Source organism: Homo sapiens, chromosome 17 (genome assembly GCF_000001405.40).
Source record: "Homo sapiens chromosome 17, GRCh38.p14 Primary Assembly".
Taxonomy (NCBI): Eukaryota; Metazoa; Chordata; class Mammalia; order Primates; family Hominidae; genus Homo; species Homo sapiens.
In genome coordinates, this window is record NC_000017.11 from 58,249,555 (window position 1) to 58,269,732 (window position 20,178).

Genomic DNA, 20,178 nt, shown 5'->3' on the forward strand with positions numbered 1-20,178 from the left:
GCTGGTTTCAGGAGGAAGCCTGCGCTGGGCGCCGCCAACAGGGCTCTGGCGCGCTGGCTGCCCGCGGAGTACGAGGACGGGCTCTCCCTGCCCTTCGGCTGGACGCCGGGGAAGACGCGCAACGGCTTCCCTCTCCCGCTGGTGAGGGCAGGCCGGGCCGGGGTGAAGGATGGGAGCCAGAGGGGACGGGATGCACTACCCAAACACGCAGTGAAAGGAGGAGGAGGGATCGGTGGGGGCAGCAGGGGTGCGCGATGGAGATCTGCACAGACCCCCACCTTCCGCTAGAGGGCAGCAGAGCTCGGAGCCCGGAGCCCGGCCACGTGGCGGTCACGTTCTGGCCGCCGCAGGCCAGATACCCTGGGGTCTCCCGGGCAGATGGCCTCCCTGCCCCATCCCGCTCGCACTTACCCCAGCCCCCGCCCCTGGAGTGCATCAGCTGTTGTTTGCCTGGAGGTCCTATTTGTTGGCCTTATCGAGCTGGCAGCCCCTACCCAGAGCCCCTCTCCTATTCCTGGACACCTGGCACCTCCGTAGCTCGCATTTCAGAGGCAGCCTGTCTTTGTTTTCCCTCTCTTAGTGGAAAGGGCACCGGCTTGGCAAATCATCAAGTCATACGGATCTGGGTTCAATCCCATCCCTGTCCCTTTGTAGCGGCAGGACCTTGGAGAACTGACTTCACCTGTCCAGGATTCAATCTCCCCCTCTACAGAATAGGCTAATGCCACCCACCTCACAAACTCCTTGTAGGGATTAAGTGCACTTGTAACATGGTAGGTAGTTAATAAGCTGTAGTTGCATCTGAATCCTCAAAGCACTTTTTCCTCTAATCTGCCCTCCCCTTCTCTCTCCATCTGTAGGCCCGGGAGGTATCTAACAAGATTGTTGGCTATCTGAATGAGGAGGGTGTTCTGGACCAAAACAGGTCCCTGCTCTTCATGCAGTGGGGTCAGATTGTGGATCATGACCTGGACTTTGCCCCTGACACCGAGCTGGGGAGTAGCGAGTACTCCAAAGCCCAGTGTGATGAGTACTGTATCCAGGGAGACAACTGCTTCCCCATCATGGTACGGCCCTGCAGCTAGGCATCTCTGACTAGCCCCTTGCCCACCCTGATGTAGCAGACATTCCCAGCTCATCAGCTAGGATCTCTGGATAGATCTGGGATACTGATTTGGTAGTTTCCCATGCCTCACGTGTCCATTCGTTCACTCATCCGTTTATTCAGTAAATAGACATTGACCACCCCATACCAGGCAGTGCACTAAGCGCTGAGGATTCCAAAGTGAACAGGACACCGCTCCTGCTCTCAAGAACAAAGGGCCAGTGTGGGAATTGGACAAGTAAACTACTGATAGCAGAATGGGAACACTGGAGAAGGTTGTCTACATTCCCGACCCAGCAGCATTGGTAAAACCTGCTTATTAGAAATGTAAAATCTCAGTTGGGCGAGGCGGCTCATGCCTATAATCCCAGCACTTGGGGAGGCTGAGGTGGACAGATCACCTGAGGTCAAGAGTTTGAGACCAGCCTGGCCAACATGGTGAAACCCCGTCTCTACTAAAAATACAAAAATTAGCCTGGCGAGGTGGCACATGCATGTGGTCCCAGCTACTCAGGAGGTTGAGGCAGGAGAACCGCTTGAACCTGGGAGGCGGAGGTTGCAGTGAGCCGAGATCACGCCACTGCACTCCAGCCTGGGCAACAGAGCAAGATTCCAACTCAAAAAAGAAAAAAGAAAAAGAAAAAAAAAATGCAAAATCTCAAGTCTCACCCAAGATGTTAGGAAATAGATTCTACATTTTTACCAAGATCAACAGAGATTCATTTTATACATGATAAAGTTTATACTGCTGTACATCATCGTGGAGGATGACTTCAACTCCACTCAGAAGGACTTGAAACCTGGATGAATCCGAGTGAGCAGCAGGGATTTGTAGGGATTTCCATCCGGAAGGGAGAGGAGCTTGCAGCAATGCATCTTTTCTTATTATTCATGGGTATTACAGTTGGAGAGTCATTTCTTCACTCAAAGAATAAATCGAGGCTATGTGCTGTGGTATAAAGAGCATAAACTGTGGAATGAAGCCAATGATCTGAATCCTACATCTTTCCCTTCCAGTGTATAAGTTCTTAGGCAACTTACTTAACTTTTCTGAGCCCCAGTTTTCTCATCTATAAAATGGAACTGAATTGTCCACCTTACAGGGTTTTTTTGAGGACTGAGATGAGTTAAAGTATGCATAATTCCTGGCACATGGTAAGTCCAAAATAAATACATGGCAGCTGTTGTTAGTAGTAATTATTAACAAACCTGTTCCCACCTCGTGTCCTGCTTTCCTGTCCAGGGAGCTCAATACTCCCTCCTCACCAGAAATTTGGAGCCCTCACTGTGAGGACTGAATGATTACCCTCAGTTCTTTCACACAACAGGATGTAATGAACTTCAGGATATTATGAGCCCAGGGTGTGTAATGTCAGCAAGAAGTGTCTGGGGTCAGTGTCTGGTACCAGGGTCCTAGGAGGGTGCCATCAGCATCTTTGCATCCAGACTTGCCCTGGGGAGAGGTTGCCAGGACCCAGCTGTTCCACCCCTGCCCAGTCACTTATGCCCACTCTCTCTGCAGTTCCCACCCAATGACCCCAAGGCGGGGACTCAAGGGAAATGCATGCCTTTCTTCCGAGCTGGGTTCGTCTGCCCCACTCCACCCTACAAGTCCCTGGCCCGAGAGCAGATCAACGCTCTGACCTCCTTCCTGGATGCCAGCTTTGTGTACAGCTCCGAGCCAAGCCTGGCCAGCCGCCTCCGCAACCTCAGCAGCCCCCTGGGCCTCATGGCTGTCAACCAGGAGGTCTCAGACCATGGACTACCCTACCTGCCCTATGACAGCAAGAAGCCAAGCCCCTGTGAGTTCATCAACACCACTGCCCGTGTGCCCTGCTTCCTGGCAGGTGAGTCTAGCCTGGGAACAGAAGGGCCCAAGGACAAGGGGATTATCCAGGGAAGCTTTACCACTGCCCCCTTCTTGTCATCTTTCTGGAAAAATGCACACTGAGCCATTGCTGTCCCTAGCAGTGGTCCAGGACTAGCAGAAGGGCCCAGATGAATAAAGAATTCCAGAACATATGTTCACTGTAAAACAAAATCAGGAAGTCCAGAAAAGTAACAAAGAAAATAAAAAGAAAGTGCCAGGCTTGGTGGCTCACGCCTGTAATCCCAGCACTTTGGGAGGCCGAGGCAGGCAGATCATGAGGTCACGAGATCGAGACCATCCTGGCTAACATGGTGAAACCCCGTCTCTTCTAAAAACACAAAAAATTAGCCGGGCGTGGTGGCACACCCCTGTAGTCCCAGCTACTCTGGAGGCTGAGGTAGAAGAATCACCTGAACCCAGGAGGCGGAGGTTGCAGTGAGCCGAGATCACGCCACTGCACTCCAGCCTGGGCAACAAAGCAAGACTCCATCTCAAAAAAAAAAAAAAAAAAAAAAAAAAGAAAGAAAGAAAGAAAAGAAAAGAAAAAGAAAATTCACACAATCCCACTACCCACCAATAATCATCGTTAACATTTTCATGCTTATTTTCCAGTATTTTTTCTATCACAGATACAGTTCTACATTGTTTTACATAATCGGGTCTTACTATAAATAATGCTCCAAAACCTGATGTCTTCACTTAATTTACTCCATGCCATTAACTGTTCTTCTATGACGTGATTTTTAATGGCTGCCTGGTATTTCATGACACATATTACCATCATTTATTTTCTCAATCCTACTTGGGGGAATTTAGTTATTTCAAGTTTTCCTGTGTTTTGTTGCTGTTGTTTAGGTAATGAACATCTTCATTGATAAATCTTTGTTCTCATTTTTAATACATTTATTAAGCTAATTTCCCAGAAGAGGAAGTTCTAGATGAAGAGGAATGTATATTTTTAAAGCTTTTTATAACCTGGGGACAAAATCCCCATTCCATTCAGCCTGTGCACGACCAAAGCCCTGCTAATTCTGTTCATTCCAGGTGCCCTCCTGGTCCTCTCTGTCTCCGGCTTCTAGAGGCCATCCCACCCTCAAACATCCTCTCTCTTTGGACAAACCCCCTGGCCACCCTGACATTGCAGAAGGCCAGCTCTTAGGCCAAGATACCTTTATAGATCTTTTGGATTTTGTGTTCACATATATCCCACAGCAATCCAGACACAAAACCGAGTTCTTTCTTGTTTTTCATAAAAATATGCACTCACACCAAGAATTTACAATTTTAAATAGATTTCCTGGCCTGGTGCAGTGGCTCATGCCTGTAATCCCAACACTTTGGGAGGCTTAGGTGGGAGGATTGCTTGAGGCCACAAGTTCGAGAACAGCCTGGGCAACATAGCAAGACCCCTGTCTCTACAAAAAATTTAAAAACTAGCAACACATGGTGGCACATGCCTGTAGTCCCAGCTACTCTGGAGGCTGAAACAGGAGGATCACTTGAGCCCACGAGGTTGAGGCTTCAGTTAGCCAAGATAATGCCATTGCACTCCAGCCTGGGCAACAGAGCAAGACTGTCCAGATAGATAGATAGATGATGATAGATATATAGATATATAGATATATAGATAGATAGATAGATAGATAGATAGATAGATAGATAGACTCTCCTAAAGATTAGAGGGCACAGGGAGAAGTCCTTTATCCCCTTATGAGACACCTGGTCTTTGGCCATTTAACTGTTCCCCCATCGTTACTCCTCTCTCCCTCCCACTACAGACCCCCATCTCCAGATTATTCTCCCTTTATTACCCAGAGGAACTCAGCCTTACCCAAGCTCCTCACCTCAAACCCGCATTCCTAAAACCTTCAAATTTGCTCTGTGAAGTAAAAAGCTCCTCATTCATTCGAAGCTCCCCTTCCTAGAAGGCGGTTGGGTTATAATTAGCAAAATGTTACTGTGTAGTTTGTCACCACTAGCCTTTGTCACAGTGCTGTGATAGGCTTTATTCTCATTTTCATAGGTAAGGAGACCGAGGCTCAGAAGTGTTAAGTAACTTGTCCAAGGTCACACAGCTAAAAAGTGTGTATATAGAACTGAGAGTCAAACCTATGATTCAGTACCCCCTCCCCATCCCTATTCACCTGACGGGAAGTAGGGCTTGTTGACGGGGCGGGGGGGGCGGGGCGCGGTCCTGTGGGGCACCATCATTTCTTTGTGCAGGTTACTGGGTCCTGGGGCTGTTAGGGAGAATCTACCTTCCTGCCTTCTGGGCTTTCAGGAGATTCTCGAGCCTCAGAGCATATTCTGCTGGCCACATCCCACACCCTCTTTCTCCGCGAGCATAACCGGCTGGCCAGAGAACTAAAGAGACTCAACCCTCAGTGGGATGGAGAGAAGCTCTACCAGGAAGCCCGGAAAATCCTGGGAGCCTTCGTGCAGGTAGGGAGTCCCAGGAGCACTGTCACCTGGTCCCACCTGGCTCCCACTCCTGGCTCTGCCCTCTGCTGGCTGCTGTGCCTCAGGCTCTCTCCTCTGTTCCCACACCTCCGTTTCCCCCGGCCCCTCTGCTGCTTCTCTCTTGTTGTCTCATTCTTTGAAATCCCCTTCCTTTCATTTCTTCAGCTTCTCTGTCTCAAAATGAATCTCTGGATTTGGAGTGTTGGAAAGTCACTTGTGCGTTGGTCCCTTCAGTGTGCCTGCCTGGGTGCCATTACTGGGACTGTAGGCTCCTTCACTCCCGGGACTGCTACATCGCAGTGATTTGGGTTATTTTGATTTGATTCTCTTCCTTTTTAATTGTCTACATCTACGCCCATCTCATGGGCATACTCAGCGGATACTGTTGATTGGCTGATCAACTAACTAGAAGAGATTTACAAAGGTTGATGTGTTGATATTAACCATGCACATATTTTTTAAACATTTTATTTTGAAATAATTATAGATTCTAATATATTGCAATAGGAGGGGGGTTTCAAAGGATGAGACAACAGGAGAGAAGCAGCAGAGAGGCCGGGGGAAGCAGAGGTTTGGGAACAGAGAAGGTAGCTGGAGGCGCAGCACCGAGCAGAGGGCAGAGCCAGGAGTGGGAGCCAGGCGGGCCCCAGTGGCAGGGCTCTTGGGCCTCCCTCCCTGCAGATTATTAGATTCTAAGAATTGTACAGGAAATTTTTAAAAATGTACAAGGAGGTCCCATGCACCCCTCACCCAGTCTCCTCCTTACATTAGCATGTAAGTGCTAATGTCTTACATAACCAAGATACACTGGCAAAACCAGGAAGTTAACAATGATATAAACCATAGAGCTTACTCAGATCTCACCAGTTATAAATGCAATCAACTGTGTGTGTGTATGTGTCTGCATAGCTCTATGCAGTTTTATCACAGATGTAGCTTCAAGTACTACCACAATAAAGACTCTTAACCGTACTGTCCCCTAAAACTCCCTCATGCTATCTCTTCATAGCCACATCCACCCTCACCCCTATATCCCTAACCCCTGACAAGCCCTGATCAGTTCTCCATCTCTATGTTATTTCACAGATGTTATATACATGGAATTATGCAACATGTATCCGAGATGGGCTTTTTTCATTAAGCATAATATCTTTGAGGCTCATCCATGCTGTTGTGTATATAAATATTTCATTCCTTTTTGTTGCTGAGTAGTATTCCATGGTATGAATGAACTACAATTTGTTTAACCATTCAACTTTTGAAGGGCATTTGGATAGTTTCCAGTTTTAGATTATTATGAATAAAGCTACTACAATCATTCAAACATAAGTTTCTGCATGAAAAGAAATGTTTATTTGTTTGAGATACATGCCTAAGAGTGCAATTGCTAGGTCACATGGTAAGTCCATTTTTAGGTGTTTTTTTTTTTTTTAATTTTTTAATTTTGTGGGTACATAGTAGGCGCCTATATGTATGGGGTACATTAGATGGCTTGATAAGGGCATACAATGTGAAATAAGCACATCGTGAAGAATGAGGTATCCTGCTGGGCACAGTGGCTCATGCCTGTAATCCCAGCACTTTGGGAGGCTGAGGTGAGCAGATCATAAGGTCAAGAGATCGAGACCATCCCGGCCAACATGGTGAAACCTTGTCTCTACTAAAAATACAAAAATTAGCTGGGTGTGGTGGCATGCGCCTGTAGTCCCAGCTACTCGGGAGGATGAGGCAGGAGAATCGCTTGAACCCAGGAGGTGGAGGTAGGAGGCGGAGGTTGCAGTGAGCCAGGATCACACCACTGCACTCCAGCCTGGGCAACAGAGTGAGACTCCCTTTCAAAAAAAAAAAAAAAAAGAATGAGGTATCCATCCTCTCAAGCATTTATACATTGAGTTGCAAACAATCCAGTTACACTCTTAAGTTATTTGAAAATGCACAATTAAGTTAAATTATTATTAACTATAGTCACCCTGTTGTGCTATCAAATAGTAGGTCTTACTCTTTTTTTTTTTTTTTTTTTTTTTTTGAGATAGAGTCTTGCTCTGTTGCCCAGGCTTCCTCAGCCTCCTGAGTAGCTGGGGTTTCAGGCACCTGCCACCACGTCCTGCTGATTTTTGTATTTTTAGTAGAGATAGGGTTTCACCGTGTTGGCCAGGCTGGTCTCAAACTCCTGACCTTAAGCGGTCCACCCACCTTGGCCTCCCAAAATGCTGAGATTACAGACATGAGCCACCGCGCCTGGCCATCATTCTATTTTTTGGTACCCACCAACCATCTCCACCTCCGCCCCCCACAGCCCCTCATTACCCTTCCAGGGATCTGGTAACCATCTTTCTACTTTCTATGTCCATGAGTTCAATTGTTTTGATATTTAAATCCCACAAATAAGTGAGAACATGCCATGTTTGTCTTTCTCTGCCTGGCATATTTCACGTAACATAATGATTTCCACTTCCATCCATGTTGTTACAATTGACTAGATTTCATTCTTTTTTATGGCTGAATAGTACACCATTGTGTATATGTATCACATTTTCTTTATCCATTCATCTGTTGATGGACACAAGTTGCTTTCAAATCTTAGCTATTGTAAACAGTGCTGTAACAAATGTAAGAGTGCGGATATCTCTTTGATATACTGATTTTATTTCTTTTGGGTATACACCCAGTAGTGAGATTGCTGGATCATATGGCAGCTCAATTTTTAGTTTTCTGAGGAATCTCCAAACTGTTCTCCATAGTGGTTGTACTAATTTACATTCCTGCCAACAGTGCCAAATGTGTTCTCCACATTCTTGCCAGCATTTGTTATTGCCTGTCTTTTTTATATAAGTTATTTTAACTGGGGTGACATAATATCTCATTGTAGTTTTGATCTGCATTTCTCTGATGATCAATGATGTTGAGCACCTTTTCATATGCCTGTTTGCCATTTGTATGTCTTCTTTTGAGAAATGTCTATTCAAATCTTTTGCCTATCTTTTGATTGGATTATTAGATTTTTTTCCTATAGAGTTGTTTAAGCTTCATATATATTCTGGTTGTTAATCCCTTGTCAGAAGGGTAGTTTGCAAAATTAATATTTTCTCCCATTCCGTGGGTTATCTCTTCACTTTGTTGATTGTATCCTTTGTTGTGCAGAAGCTTTTTAATTTGATGTGATCCCATTTGTCCATTTTTGCTTTGGTGGCCTATGCTTGTGGGATAGTGCTCAAGACATTTTTGCCCAGACCAATGTCCTGGAGATTTTCCCCAATGTTTTCTTGCAGTAGTTTCACAGTTTGAGGTCTTAGATTTGTCTTTAATCCATTTTGATTTGATTTTTATATATGGGTAAAAGATAGGGGTCTAGTTTTATTCTCCGGCATATGGATATCCAGTTTTCCCAGCACCATTTATTGAAGAGACTGTCTTTTCCCCAGTATATGTTCTTGGCATCTTTGTTGAAAACGAGTTAACTGTAGATGTGTGGATTTGTTTCTGGGTTCTCTATTCTGTTACATTGGTCTTTGTGTCTGTTTCTATGCCAGTACCATGCTGTTTGGTTGCTATAGCTCTGTACTATAACTTGAAGTCAGGTAATGTGATTCTTCTGGTTTTGTTCTTTTTGCTTAGGATAACTTTGGCTACTCTGAGTCTTCTACTTTTAGTTTTAAAAGGAACTGCCAAACTATTTTTTAGAATGGCTGTACCATTTACATTCCTATCAGCAATGTATGCATGATCCAATTTCTTAGCATCCTGACGGTGTCACCACCATTTTTTGTTTTATCCTTTCTGATAGGTGTGTAGTAATAGCTCATTGTTTTAATTTGCATTTCTCTAATGGCTGGTAATGTTGAACATCTTTTCCTGTGCTCATTTGCCACTTGTGCATCCTCTTCAATAAAATACTTGTTCATATATTTTGCCTATTTTCAAATTGGACTATTTGACTTGTAATGTTGAGTTTTGAGAGTTCTTTACGTATTCTAGACACAAGTCCTTTGTCAGATATGTGATTTGCAGTGATTTTCTCCCAGTCTATAATTTGGTGGGGGTTTTTTTTTTCATCCTCTTAAGAAGGTCTTTTGTAGAGCAAAAGCTTTTAATTTTAATGAAGTTCTTTTAATCAAATTTTCCTTTCCTGGATTGTGCATGTGATGTCAAGTCTCAGAACTTTTTTCCTAGTCCTAGGTCCCAAAGACTTTCTCCTGCTTTTTCCTTCTAGAAGTTTTATAGTTTTATGTTTTACATTTAAGTCTATGATCCATTTTGGGTAAATTTTTGCATAAAGTGTGAGGTTTAGGTCAAGATGCTTTTTTAAATTTTTTCTGGCTATGGATGTCAAATTGCTCCAGCACCACTTATTGAAAGGCTATTGTTTCTCCATTGAATTGCTTTTGTTTCTTTGGTAAAAAATATTTGGGCATATTTACATGGATCTATTTCTGGGTTGTCTATTCTCTTCCATTGGTTTGTATGTATGTCTATTCCTCTCATACCACAGTGCTCAATTACTATAGCTATACAGTAAGCCTTAAAACACTTTATTCTTCTTTTTCAAAATTGTTTTGGATATTCTAGGATCTTTCCCTTTCCATACATATTATTAAATAAGTTTGTGTATGTCTATCAAAAAACCTTATGGAAATTTTGATAGAAATTGCATTAAAATTATATATACATTTAGGGAGAGTTGACATCTTTACAATGTTGAGTTTTCCAATCCATAAACTAAGTATGTCTCCCCAATCTTTAGATTTTTTATTTCTTTAATCAACATTTTGTAGTTTTATCACACAGATTCTGTACATGTTTTGTTAGATTTATACCTCAGTATTTAATTTTCATTTTGTTTTGTTTTGTTTTGAGACGGAGTCTTGCTCTGTCACCAGGCTGGAGTGCAGTGGCACGATCTCGGCTCACTGCAACCTCCCGGGTTCAAGTGATTCTCCTGCCTCAGTCTCCTGAGTAGCTGGGATTACAGGCGCCCGCCACCATGCCCGGCTAATTTCTGTATTTTAGTAGAGACAGAGTTTCACCATGTTGGCCAGAATGGTCTCAATCTCTTGACCTCGTGATCCGCCCACCTCAGCCTCCTGAAGTGCTGGGATTACAGGCGTGAGCCACCATGCCCAGCCCAGTATTTCATTTTCTTTGGAGGAATTATAAATGGTATTACAGCTTTATTGCAGTTTCTACTTATTTTATCAGTGTATGAAAATATAATTGATTTTTTTATGTGTTGATTTTGTATCCTGTGACCTTGCTAAATTCAATTAGTTCTAGGCATTCTGCTGTAGATTACTTGGATTTTCTAAACAGGTAATCATGTAATATGCCAATAAAGACAGTTGTGTTTCTTCTTTTCTAATCCATATGATTTTTCTTTCTTTTTCTTGCCTTATTACGTGGCAATTCCTGGAACTTCCTAGTGGCTCAAACTTCCAATACTATATTAAATGCGCATGGTAAGAAAGCAGGCATCCTTGTCTTCCCAATCGAGAAAGTATTCAATCTTTCACCATTAAGTATAAGATTAGTTATAAATGTTTTGTAGTTGCCCTTTATGAGGTTGAGGAAGTTCTGCTTCATTCCTAGTGTAATGAGAGTTTTTATCATGAACAGGTGTAGAACTTTGTCAAACGGTTTTTCTGCATCAATTGATAGGATCATATGATTTTTATCCTTTAAACTATACTGCTTGCTTTGGATTTATTTTGCTCTTATTTTTCAAGTTTCTTGAAGTAGAAACTTAGATGACTGATTTGCAATCTTTTCTATTTTCTAATGTATTTAGTACTATAAATTTCCCTCTTAGCACTGAGTTGACTGCCTCCCACAAATTTTGATATATTGTGTTTTTATTTTCATTCAGTAGGTATTTTTTAAGTTTCCTTTCGGACTTCATCTTTAACCTATGTATAATTTAGAAGAGTGTTATTTAATTTCCAAGCGTTTGTAGATTTTCCTGTTGCCTTCCTGATTTCTAGTTTGATTCCATCATGATCAGAAACTATACTCTGTATGATTTCAATTTTAAATTTGTTAAGATTTGTTTTATAACCCTGCTGTGGACTATCTTGTTGAATATTCTGTGAGTTCCTAAAAAGAATGTGTATTCTGCTGTTGTTGAATGCAATGTTCTGTAAATGTCAGTTGGATCTGTTGGTTGATGGTGCTATTCAGTCTGTACTCCAGCTAATTTTCTGTCTAGTAATTCTCCCACTTACTGAGAGTCAGGTGTTGAAATCCCTAGCTATAAATGAGAATTTGCCTATTTCTTCTTCCAGTCCTGTCAGGTTTTGCTTCATGTATTTTAAAGCTTTAAAGTTCTGTTGTTTGATCCATATCATTTAGGATTGCTTCATCTTCTTGATGGATAGATCCTTTTATCATTATGTAATTTCCACTTTTGTCCTCTGAAGTCAACTTTATCTGATATTAATATAGTCACCCCTGCTTTTAAAAATTTATGTCTGCATGATCTTTCTTATTCCATCAATTTCAACCTACCTATGTCATTATGTTTGAAGCGAGTTTCTTTTAGACATCATATAGTTGGGTCACTTAAAAAAAAAAAGGAAAAGAAATATACTCTGCCAATCTCTGACCTTTAGTAATTAGTACTTTTAAATTATCTTTAAAATAATTATTAACATGTTAGGGATTAAATCTCCCATATCTCTCATTTTATTACTTGTTTTCTGTTTGTTCCTTCTGTTTCTTCTTCCTCTAATATTGTTTTTCTTGCCTTCCTGTGGGTTAATTGAACATTTTTTAGAGGTCCATTTGATCACATATTGCTTTGTATAATTTTCTTAGTGGTTGTTCTCCGGATAGATAGGTAGATAGATATAGAAATAAAGATAGAGAGAGAGATAGAGATATGGATTTACAACGTATCACAACCTATTGGTGTCAGTGCTTTATCATTTCAAGTGACATGTAGAAAACTCATTTCCATTTGGTCCCTTCACCTTCCCCACTTTTGAAATATAATTGTCTGAAGCATTTCTTCTATATATGTTTTATAGCACATCAGATGGTGCTTCAACCATAAAATATAATGAAAAAATTCATGAGGTGGAAAAGAATTGATGTTTACTTCTATTTTTACCCATTACATTGTTCTTCTTTCCTTTCTGAAGGTCCTGTCCTTCTTCTATTACCATTCTTCATGTTTAGAGAGTTTCCTTTAGCCATTGTTTAAGGATAGGTCTGTGTGCAGCAAATTCTCTGAGTCTTCCTTTGTGTGAGAATGTCTTTATTTCTCCTTTATTCCTGAAGAATCGTTCCACCAGCTATTGGATTCAGGGTTGGTAGTTCTTGTCTTTCGGCACATGAAAAATGTGGCGACACTTCCCCTGGCTTCTGTGGTTTCAGATGAGAGCTTCACCGATATTTTGTTTGTTTGTTTATTTCTTTGTTTCTTTGAGACAGAGTCTTGCTCTGTTGCCCAGGCTGGAGTGCAGTGGCAACATCTCGACTCACGGCAACCTCCGCCTCCCGGGCTCAAGCGATTCTCTTGCCTCAGCCTCCCGAGTAGCTGGGATTACCGATGCTCACCACCACACCTGGATAATTCTTTTTGTATTTTTAGTAGAGACAGGATTTCACCATGTTGGCCAGGCTAGTCTCAAACTCCTGACCTCAGATGATCCACCCGCCTCAGCCTCCCAAAGTGCTGGGATTGCAGGCGTGAGCCACCACACCCAGCCCTTTACCATTACTTGAATTGGTGTTTCTTTATAGGTAATGTGTCATTTCTCTTTGACTATTTTAATACTTTATGTTTAGTTTTCAGAAATTTAATTATGATATGCCTTGGAGTGAATTTCGCTGTTTATCCTGTTTGGGATTCATTCATCTTCTTGAATCTGTAAATGTGTGCCTCTCACCAATTTTGAGAAATTTTCAGGCATTATTTATTCAAATCCTTTTTCAGTTTCACCCCCTTTCTCCTCTGTTTCTGGAACTCCATTGATATGAATGCCAGATCTTTTGTTATGGTCTCACAGAACCCAGAGGCTCTGGTTTGTTTGAGCAATTTTTAAAGTCTATTTTCTTTCTGTTGTTCAGATTGAGTAAATTCTATTGATCTGTCTCCAATTCTATCCTCTGTCACTCCCACTCTGTTATTGAGTCTATTCAAGCTTTTTTAAAATTTCAGCTAGTGTATTTTCAGTTCTGTAATTTTGATTTGTTTCTTTTTTATAATTTCTACTTCTTTGCTATGATACTGTATTTGTTTCAGGAGAATCTGTAATTGATTATTGAAGCATTTTTATAATGGCTGCTTTTAAAATTTTTATCAGATAATTATAGCATCTGATTCATGTCATCCTTGGCATCAGTTGATTGTCTGTTTACTCAAAACGTGGCATTTCTGGCTCTTGGTATTATGAGTGATTTTCAGTTGTATCTTAGACATTTTGGTTGCTATATTAGGAGACCCTTGATCCTATTTAAATTTTCTATTTTAGGCCAGGCACAGTGGCTCACGCCTGTAATTCCAGCAATTTGGGAGGCCGAGGCGGGTGGATCACCTGAGGTCGGGAGTTCAAGACCAGCTTGGCTAACATGGTGAAACCCCATCTCTACTAAAAATAGAAAAACTAGCCGGGCTTGGTGGCATGCACCTGTGGTCTCAGCTACTTGGGGGTGCTGAGGCAAGAGGATCACTTAAATCAGGGAGGTCAAGGCTACAGTGAGCCAAGATGGCATCACTGCATTCCAGCCTGGGTGACAAAGTGAGACCCTGTCAAAAAAAAAAAGCACTTCATTTTAGCACATAGTTACCTTGTTTAGGTTTAGCATGTAGGTTCTGGACTACTTTTGTGGGCTTTAGGTCCACCAAAGCTTAGTTTCCTGAGCCTTGCAATGCTATTCTGGTCTACTTCACTCTTCTGGTGTTTGGGGGCTTCCCACTCAATCCCTGCTGGTGCTGTCTGCAAGGCAGGAAAGTACTTCCCTGGCTGCCTGCTGTTGCTGAGCAACCTTCTAGGGGAACAGGAACCACTGCACCTGAGCTCCTTATGGCACTGGGTTAAGAGCAAAGAGACACAGAGCCTCACTGTGAAAGCTAGATAGAAATGTGGAAAATGTGAAGCAAAAAAGCAGAATGCACAGGTATGCATTCTGTAGGATTATAACTATGTAAAAGTCGGTAACATATAGACAAAGACTACAAGAATAAAAATTAATATAATTATTAGGTTATGTGGAGGCATTTTTCTTTTCTGAAAATTTTTTATTTGTGTTAGTTCATTGTGTTTTTATGTAAAAGAAAACCAGAAACCAGTCTTTCCATTCTTCTGTATTTCTTTCAGAACTGGAGATTGGATGAACTTTCCTCAGTTGCCCCTGAATCATTCCTGTGGTTTATCATTCCTCTTGCCCTGACATTGTTACATTAAAGTGACACACAAAGACTGTCACTTTAGCATCAAGGTCATAAACTTAGCACAAAGATGACAAAGATAGTACGTTTCATATGCCAAATTCAAATGACTGATTAGTAGAGCCTATGTTGAGACAAATCGTAAGAGATCAGCAGAAAAAAATGTCATGATTGATTAGCAATGTCTGCTATGCTCATAGGAATGGGAACTGGGCACATATGCTATCCATTTGCCATCCTTGGTTTTCAACAGCTCATCACTCTTGGCTGCAGCTCTTTCACAGCCTCCCTCTGCAGAGGTTTAAACCTTCTTACACCCTTTCCTCTTGATTTTATTCTCCCTCCAGATTATCACCTTTAGGGACTACCTACCCATTTTGCTAGGTGACCACATGCAGAAGTGGATACCCCCATATCAAGGCTACAGTGAATCTGTGGATCCCAGAATTTCCAATGTCTTCACCTTCGCCTTCCGCTTTGGCCACTTGGAGGTCCCCTCTAGTATGTTCCGCCTGGATGAGAATTATCAGCCATGGGGGCCAGAACCAGAACTCCCCCTCCACACCCTCTTCTTCAACACTTGGAGGATGGTCAAAGATGGTATGCCCTTTCAGGGAAGTGCTGTCACCTGGGTCTCCCACTCCGCAGCCTATTGTAGGGAAACTTGGGTTGGAAGTCAGATTCCAAGCACTTTTACATGACCTTGGGCAAATGAATTCACCTCACTGAGCCTCAGTTTCCTCATTTATAAAATGGGGACAATAATAGTACCCATCTCACGAGGCTATCCAAAACATTAAATGAGATATACATGTGGAGCACCCTACAATGGTTCCTGACACACAGGAGGTGATCAATAAATATAAGCTATTCTTTCTTTCCTCTTGGCTTCTAAGATGACTGGGATTTCCCTACCTCCTTTCCCCGCCCTAGGCTTCTCTGACTTCTACAGGGTTTGGTAAATAAATTGCTCTTTTCTGATCTCTTCTAGAGTTTTTCACTTCATAGAGGTGCCAGAGGTTGGACCCAACTTTCCTTTATCCCTAGGCTATGTTGTGTTGAAATTAACTTTACTTAAAGCCTAGCAAGTCAAGGACATTTCCTTGAGATTTATGCAACCTCTTCCCATTATGCAACGTTCCTCAGCAGAACATATGGAAGAAAAAGCTGACTCCATGAACTAGAGCTTTAAAAATACCTTTTTTTTTTTTTTTTTTTTTTTTTTGAGACAGGGTCTTACTCTGTCACCCAGGCTGGAGTGCAAGGGCGCAATCTCAGCTCACTGCGGCCTTGACCTCCTGGGCTCACATGATCCTCCTACCTCAGCCTCCCTTGTAGCTGGGATTACAAGGCACACACCCCCATACCTGGCTAATTTTTTTGCCTTTTTTTCAGAGGCGGGGTTTTGCCATGTTGTCCAGGCTGGTCCCAAACTCCTGGGCTCAAGCAGTCTTCCCACCTTGGCCTCCCAAAGTGTTAGGATTACAGGCATGAGCCACCATGCATGGCCAAAAAATATCTCAATGTTTATATTCATGCCATCATCCCATGACTGCCCCTTTCTGCCCACCCCCAGAGCAGACAATCTGGATGCCCCTGTCTCCCTGAGCACACCCTTCAGGCTGCACTGTGCTCTTCTCTCCCTCCTTCCAGCCTGGGATGTCCAGGTGACCCACATTCAACTAAGAGAAAATGTCTGGTGGAGGCAGAGGCAAGCCATGAATGATGTTCCCACTCTTCCCCCAACCTAAGCATGGCTTCTGGGTCTCCCTTGGCAGGTGGAATTGATCCTCTGGTGCGGGGCCTGCTGGCCAAGAAATCCAAGCTGATGAAACAGAATAAAATGATGACTGGAGAGCTGCGCAACAAGCTTTTCCAGCCAACTCACAGGATCCATGGCTTTGACCTGGCTGCCATCAACACACAGCGTTGCCGGGACCATGGGCAACCTGGTGAGTGTCTGAAGTCTGGCCTGCACTGGGGAAATTTTAGCTAACTTTCTAGGGCTCCTGGAGACTCTCTTCTATAACCCTGAGGATCTGATCATCTGATCAATTCTGAAACAAAAGTCAGGCCAGTTTTTTTTGTTTGAGGTTTTTTTTTTGAGACAGGGTCTTGCTCTGTTGCCCAGGCTAGAGTACAGCGGTGCGATCACAGCTCACAGCAGCCTCAAACTCCTAGCTTCAAGTAATCCTCCTGCTTAAGCCTACCAAGTAGGTGGGACTACAGGTGTGCCACATGCCCAGCTTATTTTTTTTTTTAAATATAGACATAGTCTTGCTATGTTGCCCAGGCTGGTCTCGAACTCCTGGGCTCAAGCAATCTCCCACCTTGGCCTCCCAAAGCACTGGCATTACAGGTGCAAGCCACCATGTCCAGCCCCAGGCCATTCTTAAAACCCACTTTGTTCATCTATGAAACAGAATGTCCCATTTCCCCTAATGCAGAGAAAAGAGCATATATCTGGTACTATCTTGGCATTCCTTAAATGAAAAAGAGGTCACCAACTAACTTTAAAAACAGTTTAAAAGCCCTGAAAACATTAAGAAAACAATAGAGAGAAACCAATGACTGTTGGACCTTTCTTTTGTCCCCATGAAAGGCAATTTAATTAAGAACCAGACTGCCTGAGTTCAAATCCCGCCTATGCCATTTACTAGTTATAAGACTTTGGGCAAATTACTTAACATTTCTATTCTTCATTTACTTATTTGCACAGTGCTTAGAATAGTGCCTGGACTCATAGTACATACCACATAACTTTCATGATTGCTTAGTGGTTACATAGGACTTAACCAACTAGCCCCCTTAAGATTGAAGTGCAGATAAAAAACAATGGATTCCCTCCTTCCCCATCCCAAAGGCTGTAAGCCCAGACTTTCTAGGGCTGATAGAGCTGGAGTGGACATGGCCCCAAAGGAGGCTGTGAACAGGAAGTCCCCGGGATGAGACAGCCTCAGTCTCTCCACCCTAGGGTACAATTCCTGGAGAGCCTTCTGTGACCTCTCACAGCCGCAGACACTAGAGGAGTTGAACACAGTGCTGAAGAGCAAGATGCTGGCCAAGAAGTTACTGGGTCTCTACGGGACCCCTGACAACATCGACATCTGGATAGGGGCCATTGCTGAGCCGCTGGTGGAAAGGGGTCGGGTGGGGCCTCTCCTGGCCTGCCTCTTGGGCAAGCAGTTCCAGCAGATCCGTGATGGAGACAGGCAAGTGCGTCCTCAGCCAGGGAGGGAAGGGCAGGGCCCTTCTCCAAGAGGGGTGTCCCAAGGTCCTGCGTGAGCGCTGACTCCGGATCTCAGTGTGAGTAGGGCTTTTCATGGTCCCTGTGACCCTTTCCTTCCCCTGTGACAGAGTGGGGAGGGGCCAGCGGCCAGACTGTGGAGTGACTCTACTTCTGTCTCTGCAGGTTCTGGTGGGAAAACCCTGGGGTCTTCACGAACGAGCAGAAGGACTCTCTACAGAAAATGTCCTTCTCACGCCTTGTCTGTGACAACACCCGCATCACCAAGGTCCCACGGGACCCATTCTGGGCCAACAGCTACCCCTATGACTTCGTGGATTGCTCAGCCATCGACAAGCTGGACCTGTCACCCTGGGCCTCAGTGAAGAATTAGGGGCCCGCGCTGCACAGGAAAGTTCCCTTTGGTCCACAGGGCCATTTCAAGCAAGTTCAATGACCTGGTCCCTTAGAGCTCCATATCCCAGTCCCAGCCCTTCTTTGCAGCTGGGCCTCTCTATACCCCTGGATGAACAGCTTGCTCAGGCCCCAGGGTGGCTGCCTCGGCCCTCCCAGCTCTTACACTCAGCTCCAGTGGCTTCTCCTTTCTGTCAAGACTTAGCCCCGCTGAGATGCCCTTCTGCTCCAGCTTGCTGGATGTTACCTGTCCTCTTCCCTCCACAAGTCTTGGCCCTTAACCTTTATCTTTCTTCCTGTCCTCTCACCTAGATTGTAAGCTCCCTGGGCCAGGACTTCAGCCTGCCTCCGAGGGTCCCCTGTGGCACCTAGCATGGTGCACAGCACATTAGAAGTGCTCAAAAACATCTGATGACTGACTAAAGATGCTAGGCGTGACACCGTTCCCTCCAAAAGCAGACCTCGGAATCACTGCCAAATAAGTAACTAGACGTTTACAGGCCATACATGTCTTACCACTGAGATGGCGCGTGCGTGGGTCTTGAGGTGGAAGGGGATGGTTTGGTGGGATTTCTAAGAGTTCTCAGAGAAAGGGGAGGGGCAGGGGGCTCCTGGGGAAAACAAGCACTGGCCGTGGAGTAGCAAGAGAGAGGACACGGGGGGGACGGTAGGCGGTGGTGCCAAGGGATAAAACAGGAAGGGAAACCAAGCCTGGGTCTCCCGCAGCTGAAGCTAATACCCCTTCCAGTGGCCCTTCTGAGAAATACCCTCTTCTAGAGTGGTCCTTAGATCCTGTGATGCCTCTGAAGGGGCACTTCCAGAACATTCCTTGAGTTTCTGCCCAATACATATTCATATGTTCTTCTTTTAAAATGACCCCCTGGGAAAGATTAGCCCAACCAGGGCCTCCAGATCCCCCAACTGGTGGGGTGGGAGTGGGAGACACCCAGTCATCCTGTGGGAAGAGCCCAGGAGCCAGATGACCTCGGCTGCAGCCTGGCACTGCCACCCACTTCTTTAAGGCCTCAGACGAGTCGCTTCACCCCTCTGAGCAGCCCTCTCCTCATCACAGAAATGAGGACAAGCAGTATTTTTGCTGCTTCTTACCATGGTGAGGTCCTAACGTTACCAGGGGCCCCATGAGTACATTAGACCCCACCGTCCTACACCACTTCCAGCCCCCTCCCCATATTTGAGAAGGAAGAGGAGAGGGAGGGAGTCCACCAGTCAGACGCAGGGTTCAAGCTCCAGGCAAGACTACTAGGGAAATACACTCCTTCCCCTCCCTCAGTGCTGGCCCTGTCCTCTGGGCCCAGCCATCTGCTCTCCCTTCTCCAGGAGCCATGTGCAACATGAATGAGAAGGAGTCCACTGTCTTGAGGGCCTCTGAACCCCTGTGCCAGGCTGCTGGGATGCAGGATGCAGAGGCCCCTCTTGTTGGGGAAGGGCCTGCCTCCTCACCAGGTCTCTGTACTTTCTCTCCTACCACACAGCATTTTGTCCCCTCCACTTCCTAGCCCCTGGCACAGGCCTGACACAGAGTGAACACATAGCAAACGTTTGCTAGAGCAATGAACAAACATGAGGGCTTGGTGACCACAGTTCCCTGCAGGGTGGCAGGGGTGGAAGGTGAGGGAGGAGGGTCTGCACCGCATGCCCCGGCCCCCAGGCTTCCAAGAGATGGCTGCCCTCCACGTACGGATCTCAAAGGAAAACTC

General features: G+C 44.4%; 1 protein-coding gene across 5 annotated transcripts in view; it reads left to right on the plus strand.

Annotated features, from left to right (window-relative positions):
• LPO (lactoperoxidase) overlaps positions 1-18,964 on the plus strand; it is a 29,935-nt gene extending 10,971 nt beyond the window's left edge. For 3 of the 5 annotated variants that reach the window (NR_027647.2, NM_006151.3, NM_001160102.2), the window contains 8 exons: positions 12-141; positions 861-1,067; positions 2,628-2,952; positions 5,257-5,417; positions 15,168-15,420; positions 16,599-16,772; positions 17,795-18,032; positions 18,233-18,964. Coding sequence is in view for 4 of the 5 variants with exons in the window: in NM_006151.3 (NP_006142.1) it covers positions 12-141; positions 861-1,067; positions 2,628-2,952; positions 5,257-5,417; positions 15,168-15,420; positions 16,599-16,772; positions 17,795-18,032; positions 18,233-18,440 (1,696 nt within the window). In the remaining variant the exon portion in view is untranslated. Of the gene's footprint in view, positions 1-11; positions 142-860; positions 1,068-1,688; positions 2,261-2,627; positions 2,953-5,256; positions 5,418-15,167; positions 15,421-16,598; positions 16,773-17,794; positions 18,033-18,232 lie in introns of those variants that run through there. The other 2 variants (XM_011524810.3, XM_011524808.3) reach the window with 2 other exon arrangements.